The following is a 12,940-nucleotide window of genomic DNA, read 5'->3' as shown; positions in this document are numbered from 1 at the left end:
CCCCCCACCATGGGGATTTCTCACCTCTTTCTGAGGTTCAACCCCCCCACCATGGGGATTTCTCACCTCTTTCTGAGGTTCAACCCCCCCCCCAAGGAATTCTCAGCTCTTTCTGAGGTTCAACGCCCCTGGGGATTTCTCACCTCTTTCTAACCTCCAGGACATCCTGACTAAGGCATACTTTACCACCCCTGCAGTTTTTTTACTTTACTGGCTCCTGCGGCTTCTCCTTCCTTGGTCTGTGCACAGAGTCATCACTGCAGTATGTGAGGATCCTTTAAGCTAGGTTGCTGGCCAGTTTCTGTTTTTTTTTTTCTCTCTCTCTCTCTCTCTCTTTTTATTTTTGCATTGCTGAGAGTACAGGTTTATTCATCACACCGGGTGGGTCTCAATTTCTCACCCATGAGACGCTTGCAATGAGGTAAGGGAGCACGCTCCATCATGAGAGACGACTGGAGACCACCCCCAGAGGAGAATGTATCCCCATATGGCCCATCAAATTGTTTGAAATGCTTGTTCCCTAGTGCCGTAAAGAAATAGCACTTGAACATTATTATTTAGTAAGGCCATTTTTACTTTCTGCAGAAAGGGTACACTCGCCAGCAGTTTTGCCACGAGAATACACCAAACAAAGGAGACAGGGTCATTTATGACCTGACGCATCCACCCTACTGCTGTGTCCGGTTTCCATTGGCTGGAACGGGACCTCACATTCTGTATTCGTCCCAAATGGCTAGCAACTTAGGAGTTTTTAGAAGAGGCAAAGGTAGAGGAGAACAAAGGAAGGAGGAAGTAAATTGTGGAATGCTGAGAAAGGTAAAAACACTTTTAAATAAAGAAGAGGCACAGGCTATGACCTGATGCTTGCTTGGACCAGTATAAGCATGCCAGGGCAAGTATTTAGGAGCACAGGTCTTTGAATAAATTTTGCTTCTAAGAGAAGTTACTATTTATTCCTAATTAGATTGGAAGGAAAGTCTTTGAAGACGAACTTCTACTTTACTTTTTATTTACAATGTCCAGTTCACAGAAAAACTGGATGATACCTCTGTAACTTTAGCCAATATGTTTACACACAGGATTCCCTTTACAATTAACATTTCAAAACTTGCTTAAACCTTTAAAACAAAATATTTTTTTAACCTTTTAATGTAGGTAAAAATCCACATCATTATGCCTCCATATAATCCTTTTACCAAAGGTATATTTTACTTTCCTTATACACTTTGCACGTAAACTGTTTCTTCAATAATTCTACATTCAGGAGGCCTAATTACTTTTAAATTATACAACATTTCTTGCATAAATTCCCTTTTATAACTTTTTTTTGGTCATGACTTTCACAGACAATTCTTCCATGTGCCTCAACTTTCTGACTTGCTGCAAACATCCTTTTCTTTAAACAACCAGTTAATTTACTTTAGGACAAGAATTTACCATATAACATTCTTTTTACATAAATTCCCCCCTCCACCCTTTTTTTCCTAAAGATGATAACCATTCTTTTCCAAAGCGAACTTCCTTCATGTCTGTGGACTAGACTGCCTAAGACCATAAGATTAGAAGTTAGGATAATACATGTTACACTGTTAACTTTTAGCAAACTTTACTTTTGTTGAAAACCTTGTAAGTTTGGGATTTCAATTATCCTTTGCTGTTAACAAGACCTTGTTTAGTCCAGATTTACTTAGAATTGGCATAGATGGTTCCTTCCTGGTTCTTTAAGTACTTTAAGGCTTGGCTGAGAGGAAACAGCTCTCAGGTTTGAGCAGACCAATTATTAGGCCATTTTCCTAACTCTGCTTTTACAAGAGTTTCCCTATCAATTACTGAATACCTATTGTGTCTTTTTCCCTCAGTCACCAGGGAGGAACCATCTATTGTCCTGTCCTGAAGGGAGTTCCTCCTAGGTATGGTCAGACCTTTGTATGGTAATTAATTAAGATTTAGATCCCCTGTTAGGAAACCTGCTGGGTTAAGGGAATTATCCGTGGTTAATGTTAAATCATCTTTTTCTAACAGAAGAGTCCCATACTTTAAGATTTTTGAGTTAGTAAGCTACCTTTCTGCTTTTTTTTTTTTTTTTGACTTAAGATAGTTCTGAACTTGTGAGGTGTGCTTACAATGAAGTTTCCTCTAAAAGCGATTTTTCTACTTTCTTCTGCTAGCAAAGCAGTTGCTGCTACAGATTAAATGCATTTGGGCCATCCGCAGGTTAAGGATTTTAGATAGGAAGGCTAAGGGTTGTCAGTGGCCTAAGTGCTTTAGGGCTATGCCCTTGTTTACACTGACAACAAGGTGGTATTGGAGTGTTATAGGGTCATGGAGAAGACCTTCAATTATCAATTATAGGTTTTAAATTTACCCTGGCTTTTAAAGGAATAGGGTACACTGTTTCTTCTTCACTACTTCTATCTTTCTTTCTTTGACTTTCTGTCTCTCTCTTTCTCTCCCTTTGACTCCGTCTCTGCCTCTCTCTCTTTGACTCCCTCTTTGTCTGTCTCTTCCTCTCTCTCTGCCTCTCTTTTTCTCTGTCTCTCTTTGACTTTCTGTCTCTCTCTCTCTGACTCCCTCTTTGTCTCTCTCTCTTCCTCTCTCTCTCTCTGACTCCCTCTTTGTCTGTCTCTTCCTCTTTCTCTCTCTCTCTGACTCCCTCTTTGTCTGTCTCTTCCTCTTTCTCTCTCTCTCTTTGACTCCCTCTTTGTCTGTCTCTTCCTCTCTCTCTGACTGCATCTTTGTCTCTTCCTCTCTCTCTGCCTCTTTCTCTCTCTCTCTTTGACTCCCTCTTTGTGTGTGTCTCTCTCTCTTTCTCTCTTTGATTCCCTCTTTGTCTCTTCCTCTCTCTCTCTCTTTCCCCCCTCCCTCTCTTTCCTCTCTGCTGTTCTTTCCCTGCCTCTGCCAGCTGCTTATGCTGCTGTTCTCCCCTCTCCTTCCCCTTTCCCTAGGGGAGGGACTGGCAGGAGTGGAGCTACTCTTTCTTCCTCTGAAAAGAGGATGCCCAAGATGGACATTAACTCGACCCAGGTGTACAACTGAGGTCCTAAGAATTGGTCAATTTGGTCTGCCACTCTGTAAGGGTCATCTAGTAGTGATTTAAGCTCCTTTTTTAAAACTGTGGACTTCTGAACTCGGTAGGGTAGCATTTACAAATCCAATGCCCCCTTCCCCCCTCCCCCCACCCTCCTTGTGGTACCTCTTTCAAAGGTAAGAGGATCAGGGCTAACCCCTTAGGTACAGAGGGAAATGGGAAATTCTGAATATCTTTTTTACATCGTTCTACCTCATACTGGAGTCCTTTTAGACAGGGGTATTTAGGTCGGGAGGGAACAGACTGATGGAATGGTAATTCCCAAGAGTCAGGGTTATAAGGAGGAGGGATAACATGAGTAGAGGGGGATTTGGAATGGGATCTGAGGTGTCAGTGGCTGTCTGAGGGGAAAGATTGGGGACACTGAATGGGGGAAGATAGTCTAGAGGATCTCATGCGCTGGAATGTTTAGGCGTGAGAGCTGGCTCCTCTGACTTTTCATTTTGAGGTGCCAGATTGGGTTCTTCCCTATTTGTTTTTAAGGGAAAAAGGAGGGCAGGTCCTTGTCTCCATAGCCTAGTTCTTCTTGAGACACTGGACTTTTATCATTAACATATCGGATTAGAAGCTGACACATTACATGCTCATTCGACCTAAACTTTAGCCAGAAGATTGAGGGTTTGAGGATGGGTCCCTGAGTTCAAGTAAAACAGCAATATTGTATCATTTGTTGCTTTTTCCTTTTTTCTTTTAGTCCCTTCATTATCCTTCCAGTGTTTTAGCATGAGACCTAGGGGGCTATCCGGGGGGATATCTTTGTTACCATCTTTATCCTCCTTGCTCCCTGTCTTGCTTGGGGTATTTCTCATCTTGATGGTTTTGGGGTAAGGTTCAAGGTTCAATTTCCCTTACTGGGAATTTCTCACCTTTTGGGGTGAGGCTCAATGTCCCCACTGGAAATTTCTTGCATTTTGGGGTAAGGCTCAATTTCCCCACTGGAAATTTCTTGCCTTTTGGGGTGAGGCTAAATTTCCCCCACTGGAAATTTCTTGCCTTTTTGGGGTGAGGCTCAATGTCCCCACTGGAAATTTCTTGCATTTTGGGGTGAGGCTCAATTTCCCCACTGGAAGTTTCTTGCCATTTCTACTACTGGAGATTTGTGTGAGGTTCAATCCCCCACAATGGGGATGTCTCACCACTTTTTAACTTCTAAGCCACCCCGACCAAGGAGTACTTCACCGCCCCCGCCCCACTGCAACTTTCTTACCTTGGTCCTGACCACCAAGGAAATATTTTACCAGCTCCCACAGCTTCTCCTTCCTTGGTCTGTGCACAGAGTTGTTGCCACACTATGTGAGGATCCTTTAAGCTAGGTTGCTGGCCAGTCCCCTGCCCCCACGTTGCTGAGAGCCCAGGTTATTCCTCACACTGGGTGGGTCTTGATTTCTCACCCCTGAGGCTGCCACAAGGGGGCGGGGTGTGCCTCCTCACAAGAGAGAACCAGAGAACGTCCCTAGAGGGGAATGTAATCACAGGCAGCCCCTAAATTGTTATATATAAAGTTTCAGTGCAGCAAAAGTAATAGCACTCAAATATAAAATTTTATTTTTAATTCTCAGCAAGGCAAGTTACTTCTATAAAAGGGTATGCCCTTACAGATGGAGCAATGGTGAGCGCACACTTGGACAAGGGAGGGGAAGGGGTTCTTATCCCTGACGCATGTGGCCCCTGCTGCTGTGTCATTCTCCTATTGGCTAGGGTTAGCCTGCACAGGCTAAATTCAGATTGGCTAATTTAAAGAGAATGTTGGGTTGAGTGCTTTGGCGGGAGTCAGGGCAGAGCAGGTAGCAGGTAATCTGAATGAGTTAGGGTGGAGCAGGTGATCAGAATGAGTTAAGGTGGCACAGGTGATTGGAATGAGTCAGGGTGGAGTAGGTAATTTGAATGAGTCAGGGTGGAGTAGGTAATCGAAAAAGGTTGCTTTACGAGGAAGTTAAGTTTAAAAGTAGAAAGCAAAGAATTGAACATACTGACATATTAATTATTTGAAAAGAAATTTAGAACTCATATCTAACGTCTGAGAAAAAAAGAAACAAGAATTTTAAAAGGTAAATATAGAGCAGTTTCAAGATGGCCGAATAGGAACAGCTCCAGTCTGCAGCTCCCAGCTTGAGTGATGCAGAAGATGGGTGATTTCTGCATTTCCAACTGAGGTACCAGGTTCATCTCACTGGGGTTTGTCAGACAGTGGGTGCAGTTCACGGATTGTGAGCTGAAGCAGGGCAGGGCATCACCTCACCCGGGAAGTGCAACGGGTAGGAGAATTCCCTTTCCTAGCCAAGGGAAGCCATGACAGACAGTACCTGGAAAATTAGGACACTCCCACCCTAATACTGCACTTTTCCAACAGTCTTAGCAAACAGCACACAAGGAGATTATATCCTGCGCCTGGCTTGGAGGGTCCCACGCCCACGGATCCTTGCTCACTGCTAGCACAGCAGTCTGAGATTGAACTGCAAGGCAGCAACAAGGCTGGGGGAGGGACGTCTGCCATTGCTGAGGCTTGAGTAGGTAAACAAAGCAGCTGGGAAGCTCGAACTGGGTGGAGCCCACCGCAGCTCAAGGAGACCTGCCTGCCTCTGTAGACTCCACCTCTGGGGGCAGCCCATAGCTGAACAAAAAGCAGCAGAAACTTCTGCAGACTTAAACGTCCCTGTCTGACAGCTTTGAAGACAGTAGTGGTTCTCCCAACACAGAGTTTGAGATCTGAGAATGGACAGACTGCCTCCTCAAGTGGGTCCCTGACCCCCGAGTAGTCTAACTGGGAGACACCTCCCAGTAGGGACTGACTGACACCTCATACAGCCCAGTGCCCCTCTGAGACGAAGCTTCCAGAGGAAGAATAAGGCAGCAACATTTGCCGTTCTGCGATATCTGCTGTTCTGCAGCCTCCTCGGGTGATTGATACCCAGGCAAACGGGGTCTGGAGTGGACCTAGGCAAACTCCAACAGACCTGCAGCTGAAGGTCCTGACGGTTAGAAGGAAAACTAACAAACAGAAAGGACATCCACACCAAAACCCCATCTGTACGTCAAAGACCAAAGGTAGATAAAACCACAAAGATGGGGAAAAAACAGAGCAGAAAAGCTGAAAATTCTAAAAATCAGAGTGCCTCTTCCCTTCCAAAGAAATGCAGCTCCTTGCCAGCAACAGAACAAAGCTGGATGGAGAATGACTTTGACGAGTTGAGAAAAGAAGGCTTCAGACGATCGGTAATAACAAACTTCTCCAAGCTAAAGGAGGATGTTCAAACCCATCGCAAAGAAGCTAAAAATCTTGAAAAAGGATTAGATGAATGGCTAACTAGAATAAACAGCATAGAGAAGACCTTAAATGACCTGATGGAGCTGAAAACCATGGCACGAGAACTACGTGACATATGCACAAGCTTCAGTAGCTGATTTGATCAAGTGGAAGAAAGGGTATCAGTGATTGAAGATCAAATGAATGAAATAAAGCAAGAAGAGAAGTTTAGAGAAAAAAGAGTAAAAAGAAACAAAGAAAGCCTCCAAGAAATATGGGACTATGTGAAAAGACCAAATCTACGTCTAATTGATGTACCTGAAAGTGACAGGGAGAATGGAACCAAGTTGGAAAACACTCTTCAGGATACTATCCAGGAGAACTTCCCCAACCTAGCAAGGCAGGCCAACATTCAAATTCAGGAAATACAGAGAAAGCCACAAAGATACTCCTTGAGAAGAGCAACTCCAAGACACATAATTATCAGATTCACCAAAGTTGAAATGAAGGAAAAAATATTAAGGGCAGCCAGAGAGAAAGGTCAGGTTTCCCACAAAGGGAAGCCCATCAGACTAACAGCGGATCTCTTGGTAGAAACTCTACATAGAAGCCAGAAGAGAGTGGGGGCCAATATTCAACATTCTTAAAGAAAAGAATTTTCAACCCAGAATTTCATATCCTGCCAAACTAAGCTTCGTAAGTGAAGGAAAAATAAAATCCTTTACAGACAAGCAAATGCTGAGAGATTTTGTCATCACCAGGCCTGCGTTACAAGAGCTCCTGAAGGAAGCAGTAAACATGGAAAGGAACAACTGGTACCAGCCACTGCAAAAACATGCCAAATCGTAAAGACCACTGATGCTAGGAAGAAACTTCATCAACTAACAAGCAAAATCACCAGCTAACATCGTAATGACAGGATCAAATACACACATAACAATATTAACCTTAAATGTAAATGGGCTAAATGCTCCAGTTAAAAGACACAGACTGGCAAATTGGATAAAGAGTCAAGACCCATCAGTGTGCTGTATTCAGAAAACCCATCTCACATGTAGAGACACACATAGGCTCAAAATAAAAGGATGGAGGAAGATCTACCAAGCAAATAGAAAACAAACAAACAAAAAAGCAGGGGTTGCAATCCTAGTCTCGGATAAAACAGACTTTAAACCAACAAAGATCAAAAGAGACAAAGGCCATTACATAATGGTAAAGGGATCCATTCAACAAGAAGAGCTAACTGTCCTAAATATATATGCACCCAATACAGGAGCACCCAGATTCATAAAGCAAGTCCTTAGAGACCGACAAAGAGACTTAGTCTCCCACACAATAATAATAGGAGACCTTAATTCCCCACTGTCAACATTAGACAGATCAAGACAGAAAGTTAACAAGGATATCCAGGAATTGAACTCAGCTCTGCACCAAGCCGACCTAATAGACATCTACAGAACTCTCCACCCAAATCAACAGAATATACACTCTTCTCAGTACCACATCACACTTATTCCAAAATTGACCACATAGTTGGAAGTAAAGCACTCCTCAGCAAATGTAAAAGAACAGAAACTATAACAAACTGTCTCTCAGACCACAGTGCAATCAAACTAGAACTCACCATTAAGAAACTCACTTAAAACCACACAACTACATGGAAACTGAACAACCTGCTCTTGAATGACTACTGGGTACATAACGAAATGAAGGCAGAAATAAAGATGTTCTTTGAAACCAATGAGAACAAAGACACAACATACCAGAATCTCTGGGACACATTTAAAGCAGTGTGTAGAGGGAAATTTATAGCACTAAATGCCCACAAGAGAAAGCAAGAAAGATCTAAAATTGACACCCTAACATCACAATTAAAAGAACTAGAGAAGCAAGAGCAAACATATTCAAAAGCTAGCAGAAGGGAAGAAATAACTAAAATCAAAGCAGAACTGAAGGAGACAGAGACACAAAAAACCCTTCAAAAAATCAGTGAATCCAGGAGCTGGTTTTTGAAAAGATCAACAAAATTGATAGACCGCTAGCAAGACTAATAAAGAAGAAAAGAGAGAAGAATCAAATAGACGCAATAAAAAATGATAAAGGGGATATCACCACCGATCCCACAGAAATACAAACTACCATCAGAGAATACTATAAACACCTCTACGCAAATAAACTAGAAAATCTAGAAGAAATGAATAAATTCCTGGACACATACGCCTTCTCAAGCCTAAACCAGGAAGAAGTTGAATCCCTGAATAGACCAATAACACCCTCCGATATTGAGGCAATAATTAATAGCCTACCAACCAAAAAACGTCGAGGACCAGACAGATTCACAGCCGAATTGTACCAGAGGTACAAAGAGGAGCTGGTACCATTCCTTCTGAAACTATTCCAATCAATAGAAAGAGAGGGAATCCTCCCTAACTCATTTTATGAGGCCAGCATCATCCTGATATCAAAGCCTGGCAGAGACACAACAAAAAAAGAGAATTTTAGACCAATATCCCTGATGAACATCGATGCAAAAATCCTCAATAAAATACTGGCAAACTGAATCCAGCAGCACATCAAAGGATTATAAATCATGCTGCTGTAAATACACATGCACACGTATGTTTATTGCGGCACTATTCACAATAGCAAAGACTTGGAACCAACCCAGATGTCCATCAATGATAGACTGGATTAAGAAAATGTGACACATATACACCATGGAATACTATGCAGGCATAAAAAAGGATGAGTTCATGTCCTTTGTAGGGACATGGATGAAGCTGGAAACCATCATTCTCAGCAAACTATCACAAGGACAAAAAACCAAACACCGCATGTTCTCACTCATAGGTGGAAATTGAACAATGAGAACACTTGGACACAGGGTGGGGAACATCACACACCGGGGCCTGTCGTGGAGTGGGAAGAGGCGGGAGGAATAGCATTAGGAGATATTCCTAATGTAATAGGAATGTAAATGACGAGTTAATGGGTGCAGTACACCAATATGGCACATGTATACATATGTAACAAACCTGCACGTCATGCACATGTACCCTAGATCTTAAAGTATAATAATAAAACAGGTAAATATACATACATATACACATACACATACATATATATATATGTATAAAGCAAGCATATATATATATATCAGGCCTTTATGCTTTCTTTCTCTTCTAGGATATTATTTTTTTTGACAAAAAGGGATTTTTTTTACCCTTCTCAGTCAACTGAATTCTGTTTTCTCCATTTATTTCTGCCTGTCTCTTCTTGCTACTCTCTGCTGCATAAGGGACCTTAAATAATTTTGAGGTTTGTAAAATTAGATTTTTTTCTAATTTCAAAACACCTCATTAGATATATATGGTTATATATTATATATTTTATATGCTTATATATAATTTATATGATTTAATTTTCTATATTTAATTAACTTAAAGACAAAAAAGTGCTAAAAGACTTTATCAGAAAAATAGAAGCCCAGATGCTTTTTTTTTTTTTTTGAGACCGAGTTTCACTCTTATTGCCCAGGCTAGAGTGCAGTGGCACGATCTCGGCTCACTGCAACCTCCACCTCCCAGGTTCAAGCGATTCTCCTGCCTCAGCCTTCCTGAGTAGCTGGGATTACAGGCATGCGCCACCATGCCCAGCTAATTTTGTATTTTAAGTAGAGACGGGCTTTCTCCATGTTGGTCAGGCTGGTCTCGAACTCCCGACCTCAGGTGATCTGCCTGCCTCAGCCTCCCAAAGTGCTGGTATTATAGGCGTAAGCCACCGCACCTGGCCCCAACTGCTTTTTAAAGTTCACAGGCAAAAATCTCTAAATGGACACATTGACAAAAAACATATGCAGATGGAAAATAATCATAAGACAAGATAATCAACATCATTCTTCAGAAGGAAATTGTGAATTAAATAAAAGTGAGATACACACGTATTAGGATGACTAAAATCCAAAAAATCGAAAATGCCAATGGCTGGCAACGAGGAACAAAAGACACTGTTGGTCATCACTGCTGGGAATGCAAAGTAGTAAAGCAACTTTCAAAGACAGTTTGTCAGCTGTTTCCATTACAAAACTGAGCACAGTCTCTTCAATCCTAGGTATACATCCAGCTGGTTTGCAAACTTATGCCCACGCAAAAATCTTGCATACAAATGTATGTGGCAGCTTACTTCATCATTGTCAGAAACTGGAAGCACACAAGATGTTCTTCAGGAGGTGAATGGAAAAACTGTGTTCCAACAACAACAGAACATTATTCATCAACCAAAAAATGACCCCTGAGGCACAAAAAACATGAATGAATCTTAAGTGCTTAGTGTTAAGTGAAAGAAGCCAGTCTGAAAATGATAGATAGTATATGATCTAATTTACCTGACATTCTAGAAAAGGCGAAGCTATAAAGGCAGTAAAAATGTCTGTTGTGGCCAGTGATCTGGGGTGGGGAGAAGGTATGCCTTAGATAAGCAGAAGGGATTTATTAGACTGGTGAAATTATTCTCTAGGATACTGCAATGATGAATTACATTATGTATTCTAGAAATAAACAGTCCTAGCCATGAGTGATCAGATAAAACCCAAAACCAGAAACTCATTTTTTTCTAAAATGGTGATATGGTTTGACTCTGGTCCCCACCCAAATCTCATCTTGAATTATAATCCCCACATGACAAGGGAGGGACCTGGTAGGAAATGATTGGACCATGGGGGCAGTTTCCCCCATGCTGTTCTCATGATAGTGAGTGAGTTCTCATGAGATCTGATGGTTTAAAAGTGTTTGGCAGGTCCCCCCTTGTGCCCTTTCTCTCCTGCTACCATGTGAGAGGTGCCTTGCTTCCCCTTCACTTTCTGCCATGATTGTGTTTCCTGAGGACTCTGCAGTCATGCGGAACTGTGAGTCAACTAAACCTCTTTTGTTTATATATTGCTCAGGCTCAGGTAGTTTGTTATAGCAGTGTGAAGGTGACTAATACAAATGCTTTGTCTGAAAGATTTTCAGAAGAAAAGAGGGAGAAATGTGAAAGAAACATAAAAATGTGGGACCCTAATTCACTATGCCAAAAGAAGAAAATGAATCTGAAAGGTGAGTCATGTAGGAAGCTGCCTTTCCTTTTGTTCCTAAGCAGATAGCTACAGATAAAAGGTTAAATATATCCACAGGTAGCTACTCTACGTTCACTTTATCTTACGTAAAGTGCCAGTTTAATGAGGGAGAGAGGAATACATAACTGGTTATACCCCTACCTGCTCCTATTCCTCTTGCAACATGTGCATTCAGTAATGTGACCGTGCCCTCCCTCAATGTCCTCCAGCTTGCTTTTCCCCTTTAAATATTGAAGCCCTCAAAATCATCTCTGGAGAAAGGCACAGACCTACCTCCTGGGCATGCCCTTAACATTGGCAAAATAAACTTCCAAATTGATTGACACCTATCTCAGATACTTTTTAGTTTTCAGATGAAATTCAGGGAAACAAACTAAATGTAAGAAATTCCCAAGACACATGTCTTTTCAAGAGCATACCTCTCCTAGTCAACAGGAGATCTACCAAAAGAAATGTAATAATGAAAAAATAAACTGAGGACTCTTTTCTCACCCTCACAAAGAATTTTAAGATTAAAAAAAATTAGACTAGTGAAGAGAAGGGAAGAACAAGGAACAACTTTAATCTCTCCCTTTCATTTTTTATTTCTTTTGGTTTAGCTTATGCAAGATTTTGTATCCATGAAAGAATTTAAGTTTATTCAATAAAAAGTATTAATGATTTAAAGCCATTAAAGCAAAATAAATTGCTAATGGGGTATCATTGATTGAGTTAAGCAATACAAGTTTTTCTGTATTAGTAATTGATATACATTTAATTTTTTAAAAGACACCGTTTGAATAAGGTCACCACAAGACAGATTTACATACAACTGTTTATTGGAAAAAAAACATAAGAAAGTATATTATGTGATCTGTACAGATGTACTCTTTCCTTGATCATATGAAAATGCAGTCTTTTTAGAAGGTTATAGCTATTAAATTTAGAGAAGTACCAAACAACAAATCACTTTAAGCAAAACTCTTCATTTTTCAGAAAACAGTATGATTTCACATTTTCTATTTTGGCATAGATTTTAATTCTTTCCAGTGGAACCTAAACCTTCTGAAGGCCTTTCAGTTTCATCCAGAGCTTGAACTTCTGTTTACGGATAAAAAATCCATTCACAGAAAACTGGTGCAATTTGATCACTTTTTTTGACTTCAAACCTTTCTTTACCCAAATTAAGCACTACAGTCCCACCATTTCCTCTATAACCTTCGTCTGTGACACCAGCTCCTGTATCTATAAAGTGTTTTGCAGCCAGGCCAGACCACTGAGCCACTCATCCATTGCAGCCAGCAGGAAGAGCAGTTTTCACAAGCGCTTACTCCGTAGATGGTATTGTATAATCGTAGGCACTATACAGGTTATAGTCTGCGGTCAGCCAAGACCCCTGGTTCAGGGCCATGGCATGCTTGGAGAGCAGGCAAAGCACAGCTGCATGCTGCCCTCCTGGCAGGTCAGGCCTGCTTGCTGGGGGAGAAATGGCAGGTGTCTTTTCAGAGCAGGGCAT

The 12,940-nt window shown here is 41.4% G+C and overlaps 1 long non-coding RNA gene and 1 pseudogene across 1 annotated transcript in view, besides 1 other annotated feature; both read right to left on the bottom strand.

Moving 5' to 3' along the window:
- The window catches only part of LINC00850 (long intergenic non-protein coding RNA 850), a 54,092-nt gene extending 49,688 nt beyond the window's left edge, over positions 1 to 4,404 (bottom strand). Inside the window, exon 1 of the long non-coding RNA NR_109813.1 lies at positions 4,296 to 4,404. This is a non-coding gene — a long non-coding RNA (long intergenic non-protein coding RNA 850). The remainder of the gene's footprint in view (positions 1 to 4,295) is intronic.
- Positions 109 to 158: an enhancer, noted in NCBI's record as "active region_30017". NCBI's record gives its function as "activates an Ori minimal core promoter by ATAC-STARR-seq in GM12878 lymphoblastoid cells {active_cell/tissue: GM12878}" and the evidence as "EXISTENCE:reporter gene assay evidence [ECO:0000049][PMID:35858748]".
- On the bottom strand, positions 12,464 to 12,940 carry DUTP4 (deoxyuridine triphosphatase pseudogene 4; annotated as a pseudogene).

The sequence above is a fragment of the Homo sapiens genome, chromosome X (genome assembly GCF_000001405.40).
Source record: "Homo sapiens chromosome X, GRCh38.p14 Primary Assembly".
NCBI lineage: Eukaryota > Metazoa > Chordata > Mammalia > Primates > Hominidae > Homo > Homo sapiens.
This window is presented reverse-complemented; position numbering and strand designations above follow the sequence as displayed.